Source organism: Homo sapiens, chromosome 6 (genome assembly GCF_000001405.40).
Source record: "Homo sapiens chromosome 6, GRCh38.p14 Primary Assembly".
Taxonomy (NCBI): Eukaryota; Metazoa; Chordata; class Mammalia; order Primates; family Hominidae; genus Homo; species Homo sapiens.
In genome coordinates, this window is record NC_000006.12 from 114,413,395 (window position 1) to 114,441,026 (window position 27,632).

Sequence of the window (27,632 nt, forward strand, 5' to 3'; positions counted from 1 at the left end):
TTTACTAAGAAGAATCCTGGCGAAAGCCCCCTTACCAAACTGATAAAGGTTAATGTCACTGTAATGTCATCTAGATGTCACATACACCCTGATATAATGGGATGCACCTTTGTTGCATGATTTCAAAAATTCATAACCTTAGTGTGATGGTCAGGTTTATGTGCCAACTTAGGCTCAGCAACAATACTCAGTTACTCAATCAAACATGAATTTAGGTGTTGCTGTGCAGAGACTTTGCAGATGTGTTTAGCCTGTATAATCAGTTTAAGCAAAAGAGATTATCCTAAAAAATCTGAATGAAAAGAAGTGAGATTTTCCTGAGGAAGCAGAAATTCTGGACTGCAGATTCAATGCCTGCCTGAAAGTTTCCAGCCTACCTTTTCTGATGGCCTGTCCAGCAGATTTTGGTCTTACTGAGCATGTCCCATAAGCCAAGTTCTTGCCATCTATCCATCTATGTATTGATCGATCTATCCATTCTAGCTCTTTTTCTCTGGTGAATATGAACCCAGATTGGAAAACATTCTACAGACTACTTGCCAGTCCCCCTCAAGACTTTCAAAGACATAAGAAACAAAGGAAGACAGAAAGTGTAGAAGTCCAGGAGACTTAGGAGGTGTGACTTTCAAACATACTATGGTACCCTGGATTGAATTCTGGAACAGAAACAGAGCATTAATGGGAAAAAAAACGGTGGAACACGAATTAAGTTTAGGGTTTAGTAATATACTAACATTTATTTCATATACCATGATAAAATAAGATGATAAAAATGGATAAAACTGGGTAAGTGATATATGAGAACTCTTTGTACTGTCTTTGAAACATTTTAGCAAATATAAAATTTTTCCAAAAGGAAAAGGTTTTGTTTGATTGTTTTTTGTGATTTTTTTTTTTTTTTTTAAGAGAGCGTCTCACTCTGTCGCCCAGGCTGGAAGGCAGTGATACCAACATGGCTCAGTGAAGCCTCAGCCTCCTGGGCTCAAGTGATCCTCTCACCTAAGCCTCCTGAGTAGGTGGGACCACAGGTGTGTGTCATTGTGTTCAGCTAATTAAAAAAACAATTGTAGAGATGGGGTCTCACCATGTTGCCCAGGCTGGTATCAAACTCCTGGGCTCAGGCAGTCCTTCTGCCTCAGCATCCCAAAGTTTTTTGGGCCTAGCCAAAAAAGTTTTTCATGTACATGAAAAATTACATCTATCTGTCTCTATGTCTCTATCTTTGTATTTCTATGTATCTATATGCCTATCTGTCTGTCTATAAACAGGCATAAGGACAAATGCCAATCATTTGGAAAAGACTGTCAATAATTATTAGGCAAATAGAAATGGCTTGATATAAAATCTTCAGGCTTCAGCTCATTTCAAGCCTTGGTTCCATATCACAAACCATATTATCTAACAAAAATGAACTATACTTTATACCTCTCTTCTCCCATACCCATTTGGTGACTTTAGACCTAAGGTATGAACAAAATATATATCTGGGCACCCTCTTTACATCTCAGGCGACACTTGGTGAGTCAGTTTCTGCAACCCAGGAAGATAATGAAAAGCTCAGAAAGCAAGTGGCCATGTTTTACATCACTAATTCTGAAGAAGAGCTCAGAACAACAACAACTAAACATCCAAATCAATAATGTTCTCCTGAGCTGAAGAAAGACATGTGCATGCACTAAAAGCCGAAACTATTAATATCTACACCCACACCATTCCTGTTTACATTAACATGGCTTTATTATTCCCAGAAACTCCTGCTCTGGAAGGTAAAAATTGCAAATGACTTTTATTGTCTGCAAATAATTTTATTGATTACTCCAGAAACTTCCTGAGAGACCCACCAACTCTTCAACAGGAAGCAAATGTTATATCCCGAGATATTTCTTTCATCCTCCAATTTATTTGATAATGTGGGGAAATTTGAATACTTATATTTAATGATATTAAAAATATTATCTTTTAGGAATGATAATGCTATTGTGGCTCATTTTTTTCCCAAAACATTTTGAACCTTTCTCTTCAAAATCCTCTCCTTCCTATGCCTACCAATGCTATATTATTCTATCATGATCCTTACCCAATCCTAATCAAACCTCTTCCTTTCCTCCTTCCCGTTAAAAGACCTATGTTAAGCCAGACTTCAGAATCTCATAAATATCTTTGTGCTTCTTCTTCAGAGGTGCTGTTAACACTGGGAGTAGTGCTTTCTCTTATTGAGGTAAGCAATAAACTCAGCTCTGTCTTATTAACAGGTTGATTTGGTGATATTTTAGAAAGCTAGTATTCAACAGTGGGTTGAAAAACGTCACTGTATTCCAGGAAGAATACAATGAAAATACAATGAAAACATATCTCCATCTGATCACAGAATAAAAAATATTGAACTACATAGATTAAAATGCTTTATAAGTATCTAAGTTGACAAAAGTAATTGGCCTTTCAAGGAGAAAAATTCAGTTTTGTCACATGTTGTCCAATGCAAAATGAATGCCAAAAAAATATTGAAAGCTGGGCATGGTGGCTCACGCCTGTAATCCCAGCACTTTGAGAGGCTAAGGTGGGAGGATCACTTGAGCACAGGAGTTCAAGTCTAGCCTCTCTCTCTAAAAAAAAAAAAAAGCAGGTGGTCCCAGCAACTTGGAGGCTGAGGCAAGAGGATTGCTTAAGCCCAGGAGGCTGAGCAAGCCATGATTGTACCACTGAACTCTAGCCTGGGTAATGGAGTGAGACCCTATCTCCAAAAAACAAAAGGGTATAAAAAGTTCTGTAACCTAAGAATTTTATCATCCTATCATTCAGATAATAGAATGGTAATTTCAGATTTTATTAAGAAAATATTGTCTACTTTTTTGAAAAATTATTAGTGATACCATTCAACAGAATGAGGGATAAAGCACAGAAGTATTAAAAAAATTTTATTGAAATCTGTTAGAGAAAAATTGAAAATACTTTCATTGTTACAATTAAAGTTTCAAAAATTTATTCTTGAAAATGTATATCATGCAAAATTAATAATTTAATAATAATGCAACAATAATAATTTATATCAAATATATCAAACTAAATTAACAAAGGCTGAAAAATGGAGTTGGAAACTGTATAGTAAAGGAATCAAAATATGAAAAAGTAAGTAACTTATATAAATGAGACCTAAAATAAAATTTTTCATTTGGAACTGGCATTTAAATAAATACATCTTTAAAAGCTTTTGTAAAAAGAAATACCATTAGAATAAAAGGTAAGAAAAATACTTTCCAAAATTTGAGTAGGGCATAAAGTGGGGTGAACAGAAGTAAGCAAGTTGAAAATGAATTTGGTAGAGGTGAGCAGAGGCCATGTCATAAAGGACAATGCAAGCCATATCACTGTGTTTGAACTCTAATGATGCAAGTTTTGTTTAAGAAAACTTGGAGTAAGAATAGATACAGTATGACTAGTTAAAAGAGCATGGAAGTAATCCAGTTGAAAAATGGTGGTGGCCTGGACTAGGACATTGGCAATGGTGATGGAAAGAAGTGGAAGGCTTTGCAAGATATAAGAAGATTAAAGTAGATGTGCTTGTCAATTGATTGGTTGGCAGGGTTGAAGTGGATAGAAGAATCGGGGTTTCTGATCTGATATCAGTGGATGATAGAGCCATTCACTGAGATTGGTGGTTGGTGGGGAATGAAAACTGAAGTCTGGGCTGGAGATTGTCTATCAGTTACATATACATTCAATTGTTCTACAACTAGCAAATGAACACTTGTGTTAATTAGATACCCTGCTAGACTCTGAGAAGACCACGATAAGTAAGAAAGACACAATTCATGTTATTGCAGGATTTATGGTTTATCTCAGAGCTTAAGAGAAATTTGAATGTGATGACTACTTTTCTCAGAATTATCAGGAGTGCTTGTTAAAACACTAAATTTGTCCCCACCTTTGTCTACTAGATCGAATTTTCCAGTTGATTCTTACAGTAAGATTTGAAATCCACTAATTTATATAACTGAAACCTTTCACTTGTGACATCACTAAAACGAAGTGAAGAGAAGGAACACACCACCAGTGTTTATCAGAAGCCCAGAGGAAGAGCAGTTTATAAAAGACACTGAGAATTGATGGCCCAACATTTAAGAAGAAAACTAGAGTTTGTGTTGTGTTGGAAGACTAGAGAAAGGAACCGTTAATGTAGGAAAGTTTGTTTAACATTAAAACTGCTACCAAAGAGTCACTAAGATGAGATCTAAAATATACTCACTGAATTTTGTCACTCTAGTGAGAGCAAGGTGAGCAATTTTGAAGTGGTAGGTGAGGAAGCAAATACCATACCAAGAGCTAGCAATGCATCCAAGAAACCTGGGAGGAAAAGGGTCAAGAGAGAGTAGTAACCAGAATCTCAAGGGAGTTTGAGGGATAATTGTTTAAAAAAGAGAACTGAATATGACATTCTGATAGGAAAAAGAAACTGAAGAAAAAACAGTGAGAGGAGAGTGTTTTAAAAAAATTTCAAAGAAAGTCTTGTGGGATAAGATAAAGAACACAGGGTCTAATATAGATCTAATAAGATTTAGTAAGATCTAATAAAACAGGCAGTAAGAAAGGAAGAAAGGATGTGGTTCTGTTTGGAAGAGAAGAGTAATCTTGAAGAGTGCAGGCACCTGTCTCTCTTCATCTCTTTATAAACAGTACCTGTTATTGTGCCTGGCAGACAGCATACCCTTAATCAATACTTATTAAATGAATGAATGATTAGGGAAGCGGTCAGTAGTTCATCTTCAATTTCTCTGTAAAATATTAGTTAAAAATCTATGATAAGTAAAGGAGAGGGTGATGGGGTCAGAGACTGATCAGAGTGAAGAAGCATTGGAACAGTTTCTGTAGGGAAAAAATGAGACAAAAAAGTTGCAGGAGACCATGGAATCTCAGTAGCATCTGTTGCACAGAGGTTGATTTTCTCCATCAGCATCCACAGAAGATGAAGAAAGCAATTAGGTTTGTCCATTTTTTCCAAGGACCTAGTTTACAGTTAGGATAGGTCTTTGTTATCTTCTGCTGCCTGAGAGATTTCTCCATTAAACTCAAGATGCGCCCTCTCCTGCAGTACTGTCTTGAGCTTGTAATGAATATTCCACCTAGAGACACACCTCACCAAGGTGTGTTCTACTTCCTGATAATCACGGGCTTATTCCATTCCACCTGTCCTTTTGGTCATGACACTGTTCTGGGTGACATAAACCTAGTTCTGGTATCCCTGAGACCCCATTTTCTCCATAACAGCTTCCCCAGTGGGACATACCATCTGAACACGTTCTGTCAGAATCCCAAGTGTCTTTCCAACTTCCCTTCTTGTCATCAATTGATTTAATTTTTTAAACTTTTATTTATTTATTTATTTATTTATTTATTTATTTATTTATTTTTGCAGAGACGGGGTCTCACCATGTTGTCCAGGCTGGTCTCAAACTCCTGGGCTCAAGTGATCCTCCCATCTCAGCCTCCCCAAGTGCTGGGGTTAAAGGTGTGAGCACCGCACCTCACCCATTTGTTGACTTTCAATGCAAGTAAATGACTTTCAATGCAAGTAAATGCTGGATTAGCAAAACTGTTGTATGATTTTTTGTTTCTCTTAATGAAGCCTGCTTAATCCTCATTGCATAGTGTTTTCACCATTCATCCAGAACACATACATCAGATCCAAGGGCCAAGTTGCAGCTAGGTTATATAATGCCTTCGTGCAAATAACAAAACAATGCCTCTTCTAAGCAGGTCAATTAGGGAAAACAAAAGCATATTCCTGTGAGCCAATGCAGCACCAGGAAACATTTGGAAGAACAGGTGGTACATTTGTGTCGAAAAAGAGGTGCTCTTTTGGGAAAGAGCAACTGCCAGGCAGGGTAGCTATGGTTAGTTAGTGGAACAGAGGTGGGACTTGGGCCCCATTTATCACTGTGGCTGGAGCCTGTGGGCAGAGTGGAGGCCCTCATGCTTCAGAAACTGACTCATACAAAGTTTCATATAGATGAAAGGGTGATGAGGTAACAGCCACAATGCATCCACAGAAAAGGTCATTTTCGTGTACTGAATTTAGGTCATTATTTAAATACAAAGATAAGGAGTCTTTTGCTTTCAATTATATGTCCTTTGTAAAAAAAAAAAATGAAAATGACAACATGGCACTTTTGTAGTCTTAGTGCCATGCACCACTTCTGTTTTATCCTTGTTTAAATTACTAAACTGAATGTTTTTGTTTATAAACGTGAGAGGAAAGGGAAAAGCCAAAATATTGCACAACTAAAAAAGCCCATTGTTCTGAATAATAAAACTGCCAGAGAAGGTAAATTGTGCTTCAGTGCATGAATTTATTTAAAGAAGATAAAAGACTTTGTTTCCTCAAACTCTCTGATAGAGACACTAAATCAAACCCCAAATCTGAAGTAGCAGATATTAGATGTCAGATGCATGGGTCATTCATTCATCTCCCCCTTTCCTTGCTATAACTCAGCTCAGAACAAGGGAAAAAGAGTCAGCTGTAATTAAGATGCAAAGACTAAATCTCAATCCTCTGGGCGCTGACGGCAGTGTCTGAGGTAGCAGTCTCTGAAGTATTTGTGCATGACTGAAGAAACCTTATGATGGGGAAAGATTTGAAGGCAGGGGGCAGTGGATAAGGTAAGATATAATATGATTTTTTTCCCCATTAATCTCTTATTTTTCCCTCCAGATGCAGGTCCAAAGCCTGTGGGAGAATTTTTTTGCAAATATGATGAAAAATGACTCTACTTCCCTTCAACTTTGATATTTTGGAAATTGGGTCTATAAAGACTAAATATTGTGATGAACCTTTTAGTTACAGTGTTTCAATTGATTCCAGATTAAGTGAAACCCTCTAAGGCCTGAATTGATGGGTTTATTTTGGGACTGTCCTAAAATCCAAATCTTTATAATTCCCAAACTGCATGAGTCTTATGCTTACATTGTGTCCCCTCTAAATGGGGAGGAACAATTTAGGCCCCAAACAGGCATTCTTTTTCCAGTGCAATACCAATTCAATTTCAACCATCTGAAAAATTACTCAATTAAAGTCTATTTTCTGAATGCAAGTGATTGCCCATCCTGGAATAGCTCTCCTTGTCTGCGGCCTTTTCTGCAGAGTAGCTGATAAGGGGCTGGCTGGGCTGACAACATGTATGTGTACAAACTTGCACACTAGAGTAATGATCCTAGGGATACCTCTGTACTCAGGAACTTTGTGTTGATGTTGGATAATCCTTGGGTGTTTGAGGGTTTTTTTTTTAATTACATTGTTCATGAATTCATTATATATTTGTTTAAGGCACACACTAAATTTTAAATATCTGAAATGACTAATTTACAAAATTCATTTCTGAAGCCAGAATTGGGTGAGGAGTTAAATTCAATCTTTCATAAAAACATAATGAACACCTGCTGCGTTAAGCAGGGGAACTAGAATGAATAGGACACAGCCTCGGTCTTGAGAAGTATACATTCTAGTTGGAGGACTGAGAAAAGAATACAAATAATTACAATATAAAGCAGGTGAGGATGAGCGTTTAGGAGTACAAAGTGAAGTGAGTTCATAGGAAGGGGTTCTCATCCATTTGAAACTACAAAGTATTTCTATGGAACTTTGAAATTTAAGATTGCCTTGAAAGATGAGTTGAATTTGACAGAATAAAATATTATGCACATAAGGAATAATATAACAAAGGCACAGAGAGGAAAAGACTGCATAGCAAATGGTTATTTTTTGGCTGGAGAATGGGGCTCATACGAAAGAACATCGGGCATTAAAGCCAGAATGCACTTTAACCTGGGAGCAGTGTAGACTAAATTGGAGTGAAGAAAGAAATGAATGTGAAGGTGGAGGGTGGAGCTGGTTCAGGGAAGAGACCAGAACAATAACCCTAGGGAGGTAAAGAGGAATTTAGCTAAGGTGGTAATAGTGGGGAAAGAAAAGAAGGGATGAATATGAAAAACTTTCTGAAGGACTGCTTGCTGGGAACTGTTAACACCTTAGATGTGGTGAATAGGGAGAGAAAGAGACCACTGGTGGCTGAGAATGAGCCTAGTACTAACAGAGTGGTGTTGCCTGAAGACAGAGATAGGAAAGTCAAGAGGAAGAATTGGGGGTGAAGAAACCAACATTTTTGTTGAGATTTAGTTTATTTGAATACTTGGGATAGCCAGGAGTTAAGGAGATACCTTTTAGTCATACACATCCACATGTCAAAGCCATCACATTGCAGCTGTGGGTATACATTTGGGTGCCATGCGCTTAATGATGGAAGTTTAGATGGGAAGATGTTGGGCATTATGAAAGAGAAAAGCAAGGGAAAGAGTAAAGGCCAAAGAGAGTATCAGGTTGTCAGAATATCAAATTTTGCAGACAAGTGGGCAACAAAGCTAGTTTTGGGTGCTTGGGTGATCACTGGCAACATTAAGGAGAACTTTTAGTCTAATGCTGGGAGTAGGGTCCAGAAATAAAAGTCCCAGGTGAGGCAAAAATAATGAGAGAGAGAGAGAGACTGAGCTCTCCATCTGGTGTGGTTGATTTTGTGACTTGAACTGTGATGTGCTCTTAGGGTGGCCAGATTGAGTTAAGCTGACCAACCATCCCAGTTTGCCCGGGACAGTCCCGTTTTAGCACGAAAAATCTGCATCCCAGGAATCTCCCTAGTTCTGGGCAAGCTGGGATGGTTTGTCACCCTACAATTCTTAGGGCAACATACGGCGCTTAGTAGGTTTTCAGTAAGTATTTGTTGAGTGAATGAAAAAAAGAAAAAAAAAACAGAGACAGATTAACCTCTCTGGGGCTAAGTTCCTTAAGTTTGTAAAATGAGGTTAGAAATATCTGTAATAGCCAGCACATGAGGTTATTTTGACAACCAGATGAAATAATGTTTCATGCGCGTCCGTGTGAAGAGACCACCAAACAGGCTTTGTGTGAGCAACAAAAAACGGCACCAAATTTCATGCGCGTCCGTGTGAAGAGACCACCAAACAGGCTTTGTGTGAGCAACAAAAAACGGCACCAAATTTCATGCACGTCCGTGTGAAGAGAACACCAAACAGGCTTTGTGTGAGCAACATGGCTGTTTATTTCACCTGGGTGCAGGCGGGCTGAGTCCGAAAAGAGAGTCAGCAAAGGGAGATAAGGGTGGGGCCGTTTTATAGGATTTGGGTAGGTAAAGGAAAATTACAGTCGAAGGGGGTTTGTTCTCTGGTGGGCAGGAGTGGGGGTCGCAAGATGCTCAGTGGGGGTGCTTTTTGAGCCAGGATGAGCCAGGAAAAGGACTTTTACAAGGTAATGTCATCAGTTAAGGCAAGGACCGGCCATTTACACTTCTTTTGTGGTGGAATGTCATCAGTTAAGGTGGGGCAGGGCATATTCACTTCTTTTGTGATTCTTCAGTTACTTCAAGCCATCTGGGCTTATATGTGCAAGTCACAGGGGATGCGATGGCTTGGCTTGGGCTCAGAGGCCTGACATTCCTGCCTTCTTATATTAATAAGAAAAATAAAACAAAATAGTGTTGAAGTGTTGGGGCGGCGAAAACTTTTGGGGGGTGGTATGGAGAGAGAATGGGCGATGTTTCTCAGGGCTGCTTCAAGCGGGATTAGGGGCAGCGTGGGAACCTAGAGTGGGAGAGATTAAGCTGAAGGGAGGTCTTGTGGTAAGGGGTGATATTGTGGGGATGTTAGAAGAAACATTTGTCTTATAGAATGATTGGTGATGGCCTGGATACAGTTTTGTATGAATTGAAAAACTAAATGGAATAACAGAAGGAGAAAAACAGGTATAAAAGGTCTAAGAATTGGGACGACTCAGGATATCTGATTAGAGAGTGCCTAAGGAGATTCAGCATAGTCCTGCCAGCAAAGATTATTTATTTACTTCAAGAGTTAAGAGTGGCAGTTTGGGGATAGCACCAGGAGATATCAGCTGTGATGGCTTGGAAAAACAGTGTAAACTGGCAGTGTAAACAAGAGCAGGGCATGTTTGAGTAGTTGAGAACGGTGAATAGGAGTATGACTAGACAGAAAATAGTAGGGATGACAAGTTTTTTTTTTTTTTTTTTTTTTTTTTTTTTGAGGCACAGTCTAAGTTGGTCTTGTGTCTGGAATGAGACTGGGGCCTAATAAAAAAGAGCGTCTATACAGGAGCTTAAATCGGCCGTACCCTGTAGCATTCCGAGAACAGGCCTGAATTCTGAGAAGGGAAAGTGGTAAAAGTATTGTCCAGTCCTTTTTCAGTTGGTGGCTGAGCTTGGTGAGGTGTGTTTTTAAAAGACCTTTAGTCTATTCTACTTTTCTTGAAGGCGGAGGACCATAAGGGATATAAAGGTTTCACTGAATACTAAGAGTCTGAAAAACTGCTGGCTGATTTGACTAATAAAGGCTCGTCTGTTATCAGACTGTATTGAGGTGGGAAGGCTAAACTGAGGAATTATGTCTGACAGAAGGGAAGAAATGACTGCGGTGGCCTTCTCAGACCCTGTAGGAAAGGCCTTTACTTATTCAGTGAAAGTGTCTATTTAGACTAAGAGGTATTTTAGTTTCCTGACTCGGGCATGTTGAGTAAAGCTAATTTGCCAGTCCTGGGTGGGGCAAATCCTCGAGCTTGATGTGTAGGGAAGGGAGGGGGCCTGAATAATCCCTGGAGTAGTAGAATAGCAGATGGAACACTGAGAAGTTATTTCCTTGAGGATAGATTTCCATGATGGAAAGGAAATGAGAGGTTCTAAGAGGCAGGCTAGTGGCTTGTACTATAGCATAACCTGCCTTTGCCGGTGTGTGGCGATTAGGCCTGGTGGAACCGCCATCAATAAATCAAGCGTGATCAGGGTGAGGAACAGGAAAGAAGGAAATTTGGGGAAATGGGGTGAATGTCAGGTGGATCCGAGAGATACAGTCATGAGGGTCAGGTGTGGTATCAGGTATAATGTGGGAGGCCGGATTGAAGTCCGGGCCAGGAACAATGGTAATTGTGGGAGACTCAACAAAGAGTGAGTATAGCTGAAGGAGCGGGGAAGCAGAAAGTACATGCGTCAGGTATGAGGAAGAAAACAGATTTTGGAAGTTATGAGAACTGTAGAGAGTGAGTTGAGCATAGTTTGTGATTTTGAGGGCCTCTAAAAGTATTAAAGCAGCGGCAGCCGCCGCACACAGACATGAGGGCTAGGCTAAAACAGTAAGGTCAAGTTGTTTGCAGAGAAAGGCTACAGGGTGCGGTCCTGGCTCTTGTGTAAGAATTCTGACCGCACTAACTATGCCTAGGAAGGAAAGCAGTTGTTGTTTTGTAAGGGATTGAGGTTTGGGAGATTAATTGGACACGATCAGCAGGGAAAGCACGTATGTTTTTATGAGAATTATGCCGAGATAGGTAACAGATGAGGATGAAATTTGGGCTTGACTGAAGTAATGGGGGCTGTCTATGAAGCCTTGCGGCAGTACAGCCTTGGTAATTTGCTGAGCCTAATGGGTGTCAGGGTCAGTCTAAGTGAAAGCAAGGAGAGGCTGGGATGAGGGATGCAGGGGAATAGTGAAAAAAGCATCTTTAAGATCAAGCACGGAATAGTGAGTTGTGAAGGAAGGTATTGAGGACAAAAGAGTGTATGGGTTGGGCACCACAGGGTGGATAGGCAAAACAATTTGGTTGATAAGGCGTAGACCCTGAACTAACTTGTAAGGCTTGTCTGGTTTTAGGACAGGTAAAATGGGGGAATTGTAAGGAGAGTTTATAGGGTTTAAAAGGCCATGCTGTAGCAGGCGAGTGATAACAGGCTTTAATCTTTTTAAAGCGTGCTGCGGGATGGGATATTGGCGTTGAGTGGGGTAAGGGTGATTAGGTTTTAATGAGATCCAGGAATAGTCAGGGAAGCAGATTATTTAGTTAAAGTGTCTCAGCCTAATAAGGGAACTGGGCAGGTGGGGATAACTAAAAAGGAGTGCTTAAAAGAGTATTGTCTAAGTTGGCACCAGAGTTGGGGAGTTTTAAGAGGTTTAGAAGCCTGGCCGTCAACACCCACAACAGTTATGGAGGCAAGGGAAACAGGCCCTTGAAAAGAAGGTAATGTGGAGTGGGTAGCCTCCGTATTGATTAAGAAGGGGACGGGCTCACCTTCCACTGTGAGAGTTACCTGAAGCTCGGTGTCCGTGATGGTCTAGGGGGCTTCCGAGGCGATCGGGCAGTGTCAGTCTTCAGCCGCTAAGCCGAGAAGATCTGGGAAGGAGTCAGAGAGCGTTCCCGGGGCTCTGGGAGTGGCTGCCAGGTGAGTTGAACAGTCTGATTTTCCGTGGGGTCCCACACAGATGGGATGCAGCTTAGGAGGAATCCCAGGCTGCGGGCATTCCTTGGCCCAGTGGCCAGATTTCCGGCATGTGTAGCAAGCTCCTGGGGGAGGAGGTTCTGGAGGAACGCCTGGCCACTGCAGTTCAGGTGTTTGGAAGTTCTTGTGTGCTGGAGATGTGGCTGGGGTTTGTCTCACAGTGGAGGCAAGGAATTGCAACTTTTTTTCTGTTATTGTACACCTTGTAGGTGAGGTTAATTAAGTCCTGTTGTGTGGTTTGAGGGCCAGATTCCAATTTTTGGAGTTTTATTTAATGTTGGGAGCAGATTGGGTAATATAATGTATATTGAGAATAAGACGGCCTTTTGACCTTTTAGGGTCTAGGGCTGTAAAGCGTTTCAGGGTTGCTGCCAAAAGAGCCATGAACTGGGCTGGGTTTTTATGTTTGATGAGAAAGAGCCTAAATGCTTCTGATTTGGGATAAAGAAAAAGGAGCATTAACCTTGACTATGCCTTTGGCTCCAGCCACCTTTTTAAGAGTAAATTGCTGGGCAGGTGGGGGAGGGCTAGTCACGGAACGAAACTGTAAGCTAGACCAGGTGTGAGGAGGGGAGGCGATAAAAAGATTATAGGGTGGAGAAGCGGAGGCTGAGGAAGAATTGGGACCTAGCTCGGCCTGGCGAGGAGCAGCCTGGGGAGGAAGGGAGAGGTCAGATGGGTCTGTAGAAAAGGAAGATTAGAAAGACTCAGCGACACTTGGGGTTGGTACTGAGGGGACAGGCGGGAGGGAAAGAAGGAAGATTTGGGACGAGTTGCACTGGGCACAGAGACTAGGAAGGGACTGATGTGTAAAAGAATGCCTGGACGTCAGGCACCTCAGACCGTTTGCCTATTTTATGACAAGAATTATTTAGATTTCGCAGGATGGAAAAATTCAAAGTGCCATTTTCTGGCTATTTGGAACTACTGTCGAGTTTGTATTGGGGTCAAGAGGCATTGCAGAAGAAAATAAGGCATTTAGGTTTTAGGTCAGGTGTGAGTTGAAGAGGTTTTAAGTTTTTGAGAACACAGGCCAAGGGAGTAGAAGGAGGAATGGAGGGTGGAAGTTTGCCCATAGTGAAGGAAGCAAGCCTAGAGAAAAGAGAGAGTAGAGAAACGGAGGGAAGGCGTTCGGGGGTTCTTACCTTCCAGAAAAGTGGGAAAAGGGGTTGGGGCGCAGAGATAAGAGGTCAGGGCATGGAAATAAGGGATTGGGGTGCAGAGATATAAGAGGTTGGGGCATGGAAATAAGGGATTGGGACACAGAGATATGAGGTAGGGGCACGGAAATAAGGGATTGGGGCACAGAGATAAGAGGTAGGGGCACAGAAATAAGGGATTGGGGCACAGAGATAAGAGGTTGGGGTGCGGAAATAAGGGATGGGGGCACAGAGGTAAGAGGTCGAGGTGTGGAAATAGGGGATTGGGGTGCAGAGATAAGAGGTTGGGGCACAGAAATAAGGGATTGGGGCACAGAGATAAGAGGTTGGGGCACAGAAATAAGGGATTGGGGCACAGAGATAAGAGGTTGGGGCATGGAAATAAGAGATTGGGGCACAGAGATAAGAGGTTGGGGCGTGAAAATAAGGGATTGGGGGTTCTTGCCCCGTAGAAAAGCGGGACTTGCCGCTAAGGGTGAAGGAGAAGGGGTTGAGGGGTACTTGCCCCTCTCCCAGAAAAGCAGAGAAGGGGTAGAGACAAGGAGAGAAGGGGTTGAGGTACTTGCCCTTTTGGGTGTTTAATCAGAGAGGCGTCCCTGCAATGATTAAACACCAAGGGAAGGCTGCCTTCCCAGTCCGTGACTGGCGCCGGAGTTTTGGGTCCATGGATAAAACGTGTCTCCTTTGTCTCTCCCAGAAAATGAAAGGAATTGAAATTAAGAGAAGGGAGAGGTTGAAGAGTGGAAAGGAGAAAGTGGTTGAGGGACAGTGAGAGAGGTTGGAGAAGAGAGTAAGAAGAGGCCGCTTACCTGATTTAAAATTGGTAAGATGTTCCTTGGGCTGGTCGGTCTGAGGACCTAAGGTCATAGGTGGATCTTTCTCACGGAGCAAAGAACAGGAGTACAGGGGATTGATCTCCCAAGGGAGGTCCCCCGATCCGAGTCACAGCACCAAATTTCATGCGCGTCCGTGTGAAGAGACCACCAAACAGGTTTTGTGTGAGCAACATGGCTGTTTATTTCACCTGGGTGCAGGCGGGCTGAGTCCAAAAAGAGAGTCAGCAAAGGGAGATAAGGGTGGGGACATTTTATAGGATTTGGGTAGGTAAAGGAAAATTACAGTCAAAGGGGGTTTGTTCTCTGGCCGGCAGGAGTGGGGGTCGCAAGATGCTCAGTGGGGGTGCTTTTTGAGCCAGGATGAGCCAGGAAAAGGACTTTTACAAGGTAATGTCATCAGTTAAGGCAAGGACCGGCCATTTACACTTCTTTTGTGGTGGAATGTCATCAGTTAAGGTGGGGCAGGGCATATTCACTTCTTTTGTGTTTCTTCAGTTACTTCAGGCCATCTGGGTGTATACATGCAAGTCACAGGGGATGCGATGGCTTGACTTGGGCTCAAAGGCCTGACATAATGTATATGAGTATATTAGGAAAAACTGAACACTATACAAATATATACAAATTTATGCTTGATTAATTTTTTATTTTATGCATCCTATGCATACTATTATTTGTTGAAATTTTTACTTGTCTTTTTTTTTTTTTTTTGGTCGACTAACCTCTCATTTCCAATGATGTGATATTGGCACTGAAGTTAGTAATTAATTTTGTTTATATGGCACCCAACACCCAAGAGCCTCTAGGCACATGGCCAAGTCCTTTTTTTAAATATAGTCATTAAATATAGGAAAAGAGCCAAGCAAATTCCTAAACTGGCAAGTGAAAAAAAGCGCAACTAGAAAATGGGGAAACAAAAGAATTAATAACAAGTATCAATTAAGAGAATTTCTTCCATTATCTAGGGACAAAAACTGCATCCCAAACCTAATAGAAAATAGGTTGTATAACATTAGCCACCTAATCTCCCAACCTCTTGATAAAAGAGCTCCTGAAGTATGAATTTTTTTTAAATGAAAATTTCCGTTTTTTAAAAATTGAAAATATAATTAGGCTTTTCACTTAGCAAATTCTCATGTTAAAGTGGGAAGAGACCTTGGAGATCATCTCATTCTACCTTCTTATTTGATATGTGCTTTTTGTAGGAACAGCTCTGGGTAATGTTTTATTAACATACTTAGCTCCACAAAGTGAAGGGTAAACTCCCCTGTGAATGAAGGACTCTGCAGATTTCAGAGTGTAGACAAAGAATGGATCAGAGTTCTTAACTGGACTGTCTAAGTCCCTTCATCCATATCTAGCTCTCTCCTCCCGACTGGACAGGATCCCAGTCTCATGGTCCTAGAATATTTTGACTAAACTCTGAGGGCTGCACTGCAAAGACATTTGTTTTCTTTCCTGCTTTGTCTTCTTGCCTTTTCTCAGCTTCTGATGCTCCTTTTGCTTTTCTCTATTAATAGCTGTACATATTTCTAGAAATGGTAGATGCAATATGACTCAGAGAAATATTATTCAAAGACTTCAACTTTTTTGCCCAAGAAATTCAGCAAACTTTAAACTTTTCTTTGATTACCCCACTCTCCTGTCTTTGAAGATTTCCTTTGGAGACACCCTATTTTGTGGTGTCTCTTTTATTTGAAGTTGATTTTACAGCAACGAAACAGTTTCAAAATTAGACCTTCTTCACAAATAAGTTATTAGATAATTTGCAGAGATTATTTATTTTACAATTCAAAATTCTCTGCCTAATACCACTGTGCTATGCCAACTATATATATATATAGTCATTTGTGTATATATATATTTCATATATAGTCATTTGTACACTATATATACAAATTTGATCTGGATAGGCAAATTGTGAGATATTTATTCTACATGAACCCTGTTATATAATGTCTGATCTATTGTACTGATCAAATTATCACTCTCATATGTTCATATTTGATACTATTAGCAAGGACATATTGTTTACTATAGTATTTATTTCATGCATGTATAACTTGTCATACAAGTAGATTGTGTCAAATTGTGACATAAATATACTTCTCACTTTCCCTTTTAAACCCTTAATTCCTCAGTCTATACAGAGGGGTCTATTGTTGAGAAGAGCTAAAATGTTACTGCTTCTGGAGTACTTCCACGTTTAAGATGGAAAATATTGAGGGCAACTGTATGGAATTGTATATCAGACCCTGAAAGTGGAAACCACTGTGTCTTAGGCTAAGAGGAATGGTGCTGGAATATAAGGAACTCTGATATGATGTCATAAGACTATGTTCACTTCTGATTTCAACATTTATTAGCTATTTGACATTAGATAGGTGAACCCTGATAAGCCTTAATTTTCTTATCTATAAAATAGGAACACTTATTTTATAAATATAATACAAATAAATAAAAAAGTGATATACAAATGCCATGTATTATTATTATTTCTTTACTTCTTTTCCTATAATGCCTTTTTAGATGCACATTAAATACTTTTCAATAAATGGTGGCATAAACTTTCTAGAGCAGTTATAATATAGTTATTTGTAATAATTAGATATTTTGGGGGAGCTGCGTATCTTTAATTTTATTTTTTAGAAGAGTCCTGGAAATGCTATTATTTGGAAACTATTTTTCCCTTGATTATCTGGAATGAAACATTTCAAATAAACCTCACAAGCCAGGCACAAGACTACCCTGTAATACTGGCTACAAATTTCTGAAACAGGATTGCATTTCATTCTCAAAACCAATTTTACAGTTTAATAACATGTTCTCTCTTTTTCTTTTATAAAGAAATCCAGCTGCTTTGTTCATATGGTACTTCCTATGTGGGTATGGTTTAATTTGTCCTCACCAAAACTCGTGTTGAAATTTGATCCCCAATGTGGTAGTGCTGGGAGGTGAGGCCTAGTGGGAAGTACTTGGGTCACGGGGGCAGAGCTCTCCTGAATGACTTGCTTCAGTTCTCATAGTAATGAGTGAGTTTCTGCTATGGGAATACTGGATTAGTTCCTCCCAGAGTGGGTTGTGATGAAGTCAGGATACCCCTCAGAATTTGTCTCTTCACACGTGTCTGCTTCCCCTTTGACCTTCTGCCATGTCTTGACACAGCACGAAATGCTGTCACCAAAAGCTGAGCAGATGCTAGTGTCATGGTCTTTGAACTTCCTAGCCTGCAGAACCATAAGCTAAACAAACCTCTTTTCTTTATAAACTGCCCAGCCTCAGTCAGGCATAGCAACAAAAAAAAACAGACTAAGATAGTATTCTCTTAGCCAAAATTTGGTCTGTAGGTTTTGAATCTTTTCCTTCTTCAAATAAACAAACCAAATAAACTAATAGTTACTTGTAAAATTTTTCCTATAAAATTTACATTTTGTTCTGCTCTCTTTTTCTTTTGGGACAAAGTAGTGATTGTAAGGGGCACTGTCTGGATGCATTTAAGAGAGATTTCTATTTTTAAGCTTCTTAGAAAAATTACCTCTGTTCTTTGGGAATCATCTGAAGGGATTTATCTCAGTGATTTTATTATGTAGAGTTAAAATACACACTTGGCTGATTTAGCACTTGATAAAATATAGTACCTAAATAGATTTATACATTTCTTTGATATACATATATCCCCTCCAAAAGTCTCTGATATCTTGCCATTTTCTTCTTTCTCCAAAGTCCCATGAAGGTATTGAATTTTTACAAATAAATTAACTGTGCATAAGCAAGTTCTCCCTGTTTTAATCCCAGTCCTTGGGCCAAAACTCCTTTAAAATAAGCATTGCCCTAGGATCTTTGTTTTTTTTTACTTTCATATCAAAGACTTCTTTCTAAAGCTGTATCAATAATCATGCTGAGGGAACTACACCGTACTCAGTTCATTACCCACAGAAAAAATGAGAATTTATTTGTTTCTGTCCAGCTTTGACTTCATGACTAGAGGTAATCTGAACTAGTACCCAGGCCCAGTCTTAGACCACACATGATGGGTAACATTCTCACATTTGATGACAATCTTCTACCATTCTTTTTAATTTTTTTGAATCATTTTTGAGTGTGGTGGCAGATGGCACGTCTCTCAGTGAAATCAAAGGCATATGGCAAGCTGTTTTCAATAGTGCCATGCCACCTAAGTTGCAGTATTTATATTTCAAGGAAAAAATAATTTAGCTTCTGATACCAAGCTTTGGATGTAGTCATAATGAATATATATTTCCCAAACACCATACATTTTGAAATTTCTAAATGATTGTGTGGAAATCCTCTTTTAATCATAGTGAGCAGTCAAGTTCAGAAATGTAGAAACTGGCTTTTAGATGGATCAGACAAATCTAAGAAAGAGACCAAAAAGGATCATTTTTTTGTTTGTTAGAAAAAGAAAAGTCATCTTAATAGGTTCTATAGCCTGAGAGAGGATATTCAATTTTTAAAACAATATTGTCTATTTAGGTTAAGAAAATAATACATTCATTTTACCATTTTCCATTCTCTTTTCTGTTTGTTCATTAAATTATATACAGGTCAGAAGCCAGGGGTTGAAACTTCCTTAAGTTACTTGTACACTTCATTAATTCTATTCAAATAATTCATTTCAGAGTATTAGTTGTTAATTAAAACCAGAATGACAATGGCAACAATTAAAAATCTTAAGAAAATAACTTATATTCAGTATTTTTTCTTATAACACAATGAACTCATGTCTTCCCAAACTAGATTCAGGCATATTGTTAACTCACATTGTCATAGCTCTCTAGAGTCCAAATTTTTTGCATGTAGAAAATCAGCACTATGCAACAGGGACAGCTGCCGTGATAGCAACCCTGTAATTGTTGGGGCTGGACTCCCAGGGGAGTAAGAAAGGAGGGGTGGAGGGAAGAAACACCACCAATACTGAGAGAGAGTCCATATTTTATGAGTATCTCAACACTTAAAATCCTGGCAGTTTATATGTCTGAGTTCAGTGGTGATATTTGCTATTTTATTAAGTGAAAAAAGATAGAGTTTTATTTTCTCTGCAGATACATGTTTTTTTTTTTTTCTGTCTTTTAATGAAATTATTATTTGCTAACAAGTCTTAGGGCTTTTGCAGAACAAATCTCTTAGCTCAAGCTGTTACATCATGGCCAGTTCCCATAAGACAAGTTGATAATCACCCTTTTTGCTTTCCTTCAAATTTGACAAACCCACTAAAAACTACTAGATATTATAAACACTATCCCTTCTCTTCCTTAGATTTCTAAGAGAATTTTACTATTCTCTTAGCGTTCTCCTATTTTTATGAAGTGCCATGCCACCTTATATGCATTTCTTTCCTATCAGATACACTATATTTATATTTATGCATCAAAATTGTGGTGCTATCATTCAGAAAAGGCAACTTTTTAAAAAATTTTATTATTATTATACTTTAAGTTTTAGGGTACATGTGCACAATGTGCAGGTTTGTTACATATGTATACATCTGCCATGTTGGTGTGCTGCACCCATTAACTCGTCATTTAGCATTAGGTATATCTCCTAATGCTATCCCTCCCCACTCCACCCACCCCACAACAGTCCCCAGTGTGTGATGTTCCCCTTCCTGTGTCCATGTGTTCTCATTGTTCAATTCCCACCTATGAGTGAGAACATGCGGTGTTTGGTTTTTTGTCCTTGCGATAGTTTGCTGAGAATGATGGTTTCCAGTTTCATCCATGTCCCTACAAAGGACATGAACTCATCATTTTTTATGGCTGCCTAGTATTCCATGGTATATATGTGCCACATTTTCTTAATCCAGTCTATCGTTGTTGGACATTTGGGTTGGTTCCAAGTCTTTGCTATTGTGAATAGTGCCACTATAAACATATGTGTGCATGTGTCTTTATAGCAGCATGATTTATAATCCTTTGGGTATATACCCAGTAATGGGATGGCTGGGTCAAATGGTATTTCTAGTTCTAGATCCCTGAGGAATCACCACACTGACTTCCACAATGGTTGAACTAGTTTACAGTCCCACCAACAGTGTCAAAGTGTTCCTATTTCTCCACATCCTCTCCAGCACCTGTTGTTTCCTGACTTTAATGATCGCCATTCTAACTGGTGTGAGATGGTATCTCATTATGGTTTTGATTTGCATTTCTCTGATGGCCAGTGATGATGAGCATTTTTTCATGTGTTTTTTTTGGCTGCATAAATGTCTTCTTTTGAGTCACCCACTTTTTGATGGGGTTGTTTTTTTCTTGTAAATTTGTTTGAGTTCATTGTAGATTCTGGATATTAGCCCTTTGTCAGATGAGTAGGTTGCACAAATTTTCTCCCATTCTGTAGGTTGTCTGTTCACTCTGATGGTAGTTTCTTTTGCTGTGCAGAAGCTCTTTAGTTTAATTAGATCCCATTTGTCAATTTTGGCTTTTGTTGCCATTGCTTTTGCTGTTTTAGACATGAAGTCCTTGCCCATGCCTATGTCCTGAATGGTATTGCCTAGGTTTTCTTCTAGGGTTTTTATGGTTTTAGGTCTAACATTTAAGTCTTTAATCCATGTTGAATTAATTTTTGTATAAGGTATAAGGAAGGGATCCAGTTTCAGCTTTCTTTTTTTTTTTTTTTTTTTTTTTTGAGAAGGAGTCTTGCTCTGTTGCCCAGGCTGGAGTGCAGTGGCGCGATCTCGGCTCACTGCAAGCTCCGCCTACCGGGTTCACACCATTCTCCTGCCTCAGTCTCCCGAATAGCTGGGACTACAGGTGTCTGCCACCGTGCCCGGCTAATTTTTTTTGTATTTTTAGTAGAGATGGGGTTTCACCGTGTTAGCCAGGATGGTCTCGATCTCCTGACCTTGTGATCCGCCCACCTCGGCCTCCCAAAGTGCTGGAATTACAGGGTTGAGCCACCATGCCCAGCCCCAGTTTCAGCTTTCTACATATGGCTAGCCAGTTTTCCCAGCACCATTTATTAAATAGGGAATCCTTTCCCCATTGCTTGTTTTTGTCAGGTTTGTCAAAGATCAGATAGTTGTAGATATGAGGCATTATTTCTGAGGGCTCTGTTCTGTTCCATTGGTCTATATCTCTGTTTTGGTACCAGTACCATGCTGTTTTGGTTACTATAGCCTGGTAGTATAGTTTGAAGTCAGGTAGCGTGATGCCTCCAGCTTTGTTCTTTTGGCTTAGGATTGACTTGGCGATGTGGGCTCTTTTTTGGTTCCATATGAACTTTAAAGTAGTTTTTGCCAATTCTGTGAAGAAAGTCATTGGTACCTTGATGGGGATGGCATTGAATCTATAAATTACCTTGGGCAGTATGGCCATTTTCACAATATTGATTCTTCCTACCCATGAGCATGGAATGTTCTTCCATTTGTTTGTATCCTCTTTTATTTCCTTGAGCAGTGGTTTGTAGTTCTCCTTGAAGAGGTCCTTCACATCCCTTGTAAGTTGGATTCCTAGGTATTTTATTCTCTTTGAAGCAATTGTGAATGGGAGTTCACTCATGATTTGGCTCTCTGTTTGTCTGTTATTGGTGTATAAGAATGCTTGTGATTTTTGCACATTGATTTTGTATCCTGAGACTTTGCTGAAGTTGCTTATCAGCTTGAGGAGATTTTGGGCTGAGACAGTGGGGTTTTCTAGATATACAATCATGTCATCTCCAAACAGGGACAATTTGACTTCCTCTTTTCCTAATTGAATACCCTTTATTTCCTTCTCCTGCCTAATTGCCCTGGCCAGAACTTCCAACACTATGTTGAATAGGAGTGGTGAGAGAGGGCATCCCTGTCTTGTGCCTGTTTTCAAAGGGAATGCTTCCAGTTTTTGCCCATTCAGTATGATATTGGCTGTGGATTTGTCATAGATAGCTCTTATTATTTTGAGATACGTCCCATCAATACCTAATTTGTTGAGAGTTTTTAGCATGAAGGGTTGTTGAATTTTGTCAAAGGCCAGAAAAGGCAACTTAATGGAAATTACATGTCAGGTGTCACCTCTCTCAGTACTGCAAGGCTATTTATCTACACCTCTTCCTATTTACTGTTTGTTGTACCCTTTAGATATGCTAAGGGGTTTGCAAAAAACACCTTCACTTAGGATGATGTGACTATTACTCTGAAATTTCTTGACTGCTGGAAAAGACGCAGGATTTGTCCTATATAGCATGATTCCTCTGATGTCTGGTCGATCACCCCTGCCCATCTTTTGGAGGTAGAGGATTGAAGTAGTCCTTTTTATCAACTAGAATTACTCACATTGACATTCTGTCTTGTTATAGTAAATCCTGGTGTACAAGCAGCATGTAGTGGTACATTTTAATAACTAAGTGTAAAAAAAATGGCTATTGGAACCTACTTAGTATTTGTATAGCATGGTCTGGAGTCAATGGCTGGGTTAAATCATGGTTCCTTCATTTATCAGTTTTTTGACCACAAACAAGTTGCTTGAGCTCTTTGTGCCTCAGTTTTGTCACCTGTAGAATGGAAACAAAACACTTCTCTCAAAGAGTTATTCAAAATATTGAATGAATTAATACATATAAAGCACTCAGAACAATGCCCAGAATATAGTGAACACTTCTTAAAAGTTAGACATTTGTTTTTAAAATACAGTATAGACTAGAAAAATGTAAATCAATGCACATGAAACATTGTATTATAAGTGTTTTGCTGGCCCTGTAATTCTCTGCCATTGGGCAAATCACTTAGCCTCTCTGACCCTTAGATTTTTCATCTGTGTAATGGGGATAATGATAGTTATTTTAGAAGGATTTTTGTGAATATCAGAAACAAAAAATATATATATATATAAATATATATATAAATAAATATATATATTATATATATATTTTATATATTATGTATATATTTTATATATATATATATATATATAACTCCTAGTCCAGTTCCTGGCACAAAGTAGGCACTCAATAAATGTGTTAGTAGTATCGTAACTCATATTTGCTAAGCTTAATGCTCTAATGCACAGAGAACTGATTTCAGAAGAAAAAATGTGTGTGAAAGCATTCTCTATATTTCCATTGAAAGCAAACTAATGAGGAACATATTTAGAAAAATTCAGAAATATGGAGCAACTGATTAAGCTAATGTTGTACCTCTTTATCAATCTGTCCTGGCTGAGCATAGGGAAGATCAGGCCAAATTCCTTAGCTCAAAATTCAGACTGGTGCCAAGGGAGCTATCATCCCTGATGTGGGCTAAGAGCGGTTAATGTTGATTCGCATATGGTTTTCTTTTTACTAAATGAGATTATTTCATTGAAACTGCTGTGTTCCCAAGGTCAATGAGAACTTTGCTCTTCTGCAGGTGCGCCTGTTCTCAGAAAGGTAGGATTTAGATGGTTTAAACTAGCTGAATTTCAAGCCTTAAATCAAGGAGAAAGAATGGATTTAACTACATGAGAGAAGGAGACAATAGAACTAACTAAGGAATAATATGCATGCTCTCAATTTTAATGTTAAATGAATTTAAAAGTACAAATATAAAGTTTTATTAACATTGTTCTGGAAATTTTTGTCTAAAACACAAAACATAAATAAATAAAGCATATCAAGGTTTTTCTTATGTGTTACGTTCTGCATTTACATTGACATTTAATTTCCAAGTACTTACTGGCAGAAAAAGTGCCTATTTTGTGCATTTTTCTGTTTCTGTCCTATTTTTGCTTATGTGACATTTTTTCTCTGGAGGAATAAACATGTTTTAAAAAATATTTTCAGTTTGTCATTTTAATAAACAACTTAATTACAATGAGCTAAAATAAGCAAGTCACATAATTTTCTTGGGTGTATATAACATTAGTTAAATCCTTTAATAATTTTAAAATAAGAACTTTAACTTTTGTCATCCCCTCTCCCTCTTAAAAAAAAACACACAGATATAGAAACATGCATGTACAAACTAAAGAAAGCTCTTTTCCCTTTTTTTCTGTATTTTTTCATATTTCCTTTTTATTTTCTAAAATAGTGAATCTCAACTGTTTTAGTCTTCTAAATAAGTCCAAGGGTGGCAAGAGGAGGATAATTTTCAAATTTCTCTGAAAGTCTGTCTAGTGATGATAAAACAGCAATAATATGAATCAAATACTGTACACTAAAAGGATACGAAAATAAATTTATAAAATAATTCACTTACAAGATATTCATGTTGACGTGTTGATTCTGGGTTACTTTATTATGATCTAAAATATCATCATCTCTTAAATATTAGTTCATGGGACTGGATAGTGATTGACTTTTGAGTGGCCTTCCTCAAAGCATGGTCTGAAGACCACTGCATCAGGATCACCAGAGCCTCTTGTTGAAAATGTAAGTTCTGGGTTTCTATATATGACCTGTGAAATCTGATTCTCTGGAGTCTGAGCCCCAGAGCTGTGTGTGTGTGTGTGTGTGTGTGTATGTATGTATGTATGTATGTATGTATGTATGTATGTATGTATTTGAGACAGAGTCTCGCTCTGTTGCCCAGGCTGGAGTGCAGTGGTGTGATCTCGGCTCACTGCAACCTCCACCTCCCGGGTTCAAGTGATTCTCCTGCCTCAGCCTCCTGAGTAGCTGGGACTACACGTACCTGTCACCACGCCTGGGTAATTTTTTGTATTTTTAGTAGAGACAGGGTTTCACTGTGTTAGCCAGGATGGTCTCGATCTCCTGACCTCGTGATCCTCCCACCTCTCAAAGTGCTGGGATTACAGGTGTAAGCCACCGTGCCCGGCCAGCCATGTGTGTTTAACAGAAGTCCAGATAATTCTTGTGCACACTAAAGTTTGAGAAACAAAGGATTCACATCTGTATCTTCACCTTGATTTCCTAAACCAGAACTGAAAGTTATTTGTCAGTCAGGGTGGAGACTTTCTAGCACAGTGGATCTCATTACTGGCTACATATTAGAATAACCTCGAAAGCTTTCTAAAAACATCTATGCCTAGACCATATCTGAAGGGTATAAAAAATACAACTCTACCTTTTGATATTTGAAATACAACATTTAGCAATTAAATACAGTGGCTTCTTCTATTCTGTGTGTCCTATTTGGTTTTTAACCTACGATTTGAATAGAGTTTCCACAAGGGTCATATTTTTGAGCATGTGTATTTCCCCAAGTAATGGTGCTGGGTAAAAAGGAGTTGCTCAAATAATACTCTTTGCATTATAGAGATTGAACTGGAAAGAAGAAAATAATGGGATAATGAGTTCAGAATGAAGCAATTTTTTAAAAATAGTGGTGTCCTACAGCGGTTTGAGCAATATCAAGCAAAAGAAAGGGAAGTAACTCACTAGACAGAAGCATGAAAATTGAGAGGATGTGATGAGCTTGAAAGCTGTGCATCAGCAAAGGTTTATTTCTTCCCCAGGGCATTGTGAAAGAGGGTTGTGGTCATTACTGCCAAGACTGGTGGGGGAATTTCAGGTGCCGTGAGGGGGCAGGTACACTATATCCATCTTATTCAGGTTCTTAGAATAAGAACCTGAGCTTATTCTAAAATTGATGATAAGAGAGAATTTACAACTGCCAGTGGACATTAAATAGGCCCCTATTCTGACTATTTTATTAAACATTCTTTATATAGTAATCTGCTTTTTAAAATGCTGTTTTTTGATTAAAAAACTAGTATTCTAATTGCAATGACCAATTTTAGGAGTTTAAATAAATGTTTTTCTTTGGGGGGTTTTAATTTCAAAAGGTCTTTTTCTGAGTTTCCCCAAACATTGCTTTGCCTTTCATTTCTTGATGCTTTGTCTAAAAATGGAAGCCGTTATGAATCCCTAACAAGACCATCTTGTAGATTACAGTTGTCTCTTAACTTTTTGAGAGATGTGGCTCTCAGAATTGTAGGATACATGGAAGATATTGGCTAAGTCAGCAGATTTTAACTAGAGTAAGAACTATGATGGCTCTATGTTAATATATAAAAAACAAGAATTGTTGGAGTCAGTAATTATAAAGAGGGATAGCTATCTTATGGTAAACTAAACAAACTTATTTGAGAATGGGGGCAAAGACTAAATATCTATCCTAAGTTCAGTGTTAGGATGGTTTACATAGTAATTTTTGGGCTACAGGATTATTTTAAGATGATAGCATTTGTAAGACTGTCCTAGTGCAAATTGTGAATGGCAAGTTGGGGCTATGATTTAAGTATGAAATAGTAAAAGAAGATAGAATTGTTTCTTTATAGTTATTCAACTAGAGTAGAAGAAAAGGCATTATCTGGGGACATACATACAGTCAAAAAAACAGTGTCATATGAATATAATATAGTTATACTGGAAGAAGAAGAGCTGCAAAATGTTTCTAGGAAACCTTATGAAGAAAAATACTGTAATTCTAATGTCTTTCTATCAACATAGATTGAGTACCAGAATGTGACAATAGTGAACTTAAAATTTTGATACAAGTGGGTAAATTCATTCATGTAAAAATGACTGAGTCTAGTTGAGTTATGACTCATGATTAGAATTGCAAAGATAGGATTTTTAAAAAAAAAATTTCTATTTTATTATTATTATTTTTATTGCGATGGAGTCTCGCTCTGTCACCCAGTTTGGAATGCAGTGGTGCAATCTCGGCTCAAGGTAACCTCCACCTCCTGGGTTCAAGCAATCCCTTCATCTCAGCCTCCCGAGTAGCTGGGATTACAGGCTTGTGCTACCATGGCTAATTTTTGTATTTTTAGTAGTGATGGGGTTTCACTATGTTGGCCAGACTGCTCTCGAACTCCTGACCTCAGGTGATCCAACCACCTTGGCCTCCCAAAGTGCTGGGATTACAGGTGTGAGCCACTGTGCCCAGCCCATCTTTTTCCAAAGAAACTAAAACTTCAAAAAAGAAATTTGTCTTTCCAAACACAGCAATAATTGTGATGGCTTATTTTTCTCTTTTGGGTCTCAATTCAAAAGTGAATATTATTTGGAAATTTTCCTTCGTGGGAAAGTGAGAATAAGTAATCAGAAATGGATACACTTCTTTTAGGTAATCCAATATTTTTGAATTTTTTTGAATCATATTTTAGTGTGATCTTTATAAAACACATAAGTCTAAGTCTTCTCTAGTTATTTATCGTGTTCAAGTATTTAATAACAATTATATATAAACTTTATATGAAGAGCATTTGATCAATCTGCAGTCTAAAACTTTTAGGTTATACTTAACTTTTTATTAAAACTTCAAAGCAAGCGATCTTGAGTTTTAATAAAATACACATAAAACCTTGCCTATCTCCCCTCCCCCAGGGTTTCACTTTATGTATTTGTCATGGCTCCATGCT

At 38.7% G+C, this 27,632-nt stretch overlaps 1 long non-coding RNA gene across 4 annotated transcripts in view, besides 7 other annotated features; it reads left to right on the forward strand.

The window, feature by feature from the left end:
- LOC107986638 (uncharacterized) overlaps positions 1-27,632 on the forward strand; it is a 131,875-nt gene that overhangs the window by 71,070 nt on the left and 33,173 nt on the right. For 2 of the 4 annotated variants that reach the window (XR_001744315.2, XR_007059717.1), the window contains exon 1: positions 24,517-24,672. This is a non-coding gene — a long non-coding RNA (uncharacterized LOC107986638). Of the gene's footprint in view, positions 1-2,177; positions 2,219-6,487; positions 6,714-24,516; positions 24,673-27,632 lie in introns of those variants that run through there. The other 2 variants (XR_002956367.1, XR_002956366.2) reach the window with 2 other exon arrangements.
- Positions 7,528-8,193: an enhancer, noted in NCBI's record as "OCT4-NANOG-H3K27ac hESC enhancer chr6:114742086-114742751 (GRCh37/hg19 assembly coordinates)". NCBI's record gives its function as "activates a minimal SCP1, AML or CMV promoter by ChIP-STARR-seq in naive H9 embryonic stem cells {active_cell/tissue: H9 hESC(naive)}" and the evidence as "EXISTENCE:reporter gene assay evidence [ECO:0000049][PMID:30033119]".
- Positions 8,859-9,523: an enhancer, noted in NCBI's record as "OCT4-NANOG-H3K27ac hESC enhancer chr6:114743417-114744081 (GRCh37/hg19 assembly coordinates)". NCBI's record gives its function as "activates a minimal SCP1, AML or CMV promoter by ChIP-STARR-seq in naive and primed H9 embryonic stem cells {active_cell/tissue: H9 hESC(naive and primed)}" and the evidence as "EXISTENCE:reporter gene assay evidence [ECO:0000049][PMID:30033119]".
- Positions 11,000-11,669: an enhancer, noted in NCBI's record as "NANOG-H3K27ac-H3K4me1 hESC enhancer chr6:114745558-114746227 (GRCh37/hg19 assembly coordinates)". NCBI's record gives its function as "activates a minimal SCP1, AML or CMV promoter by ChIP-STARR-seq in naive H9 embryonic stem cells {active_cell/tissue: H9 hESC(naive)}" and the evidence as "EXISTENCE:reporter gene assay evidence [ECO:0000049][PMID:30033119]".
- Positions 11,670-12,340: an enhancer, noted in NCBI's record as "NANOG-H3K27ac-H3K4me1 hESC enhancer chr6:114746228-114746898 (GRCh37/hg19 assembly coordinates)". NCBI's record gives its function as "activates a minimal SCP1, AML or CMV promoter by ChIP-STARR-seq in naive and primed H9 embryonic stem cells {active_cell/tissue: H9 hESC(naive and primed)}" and the evidence as "EXISTENCE:reporter gene assay evidence [ECO:0000049][PMID:30033119]".
- Positions 12,341-13,009: an enhancer, noted in NCBI's record as "NANOG-H3K27ac-H3K4me1 hESC enhancer chr6:114746899-114747567 (GRCh37/hg19 assembly coordinates)". NCBI's record gives its function as "activates a minimal SCP1, AML or CMV promoter by ChIP-STARR-seq in primed H9 embryonic stem cells {active_cell/tissue: H9 hESC(primed)}" and the evidence as "EXISTENCE:reporter gene assay evidence [ECO:0000049][PMID:30033119]".
- Positions 13,010-13,680: an enhancer, noted in NCBI's record as "NANOG-H3K27ac-H3K4me1 hESC enhancer chr6:114747568-114748238 (GRCh37/hg19 assembly coordinates)". NCBI's record gives its function as "activates a minimal SCP1, AML or CMV promoter by ChIP-STARR-seq in primed H9 embryonic stem cells {active_cell/tissue: H9 hESC(primed)}" and the evidence as "EXISTENCE:reporter gene assay evidence [ECO:0000049][PMID:30033119]".
- Positions 14,351-15,020: an enhancer, noted in NCBI's record as "OCT4-NANOG-H3K27ac-H3K4me1 hESC enhancer chr6:114748909-114749578 (GRCh37/hg19 assembly coordinates)". NCBI's record gives its function as "activates a minimal SCP1, AML or CMV promoter by ChIP-STARR-seq in naive H9 embryonic stem cells {active_cell/tissue: H9 hESC(naive)}" and the evidence as "EXISTENCE:reporter gene assay evidence [ECO:0000049][PMID:30033119]".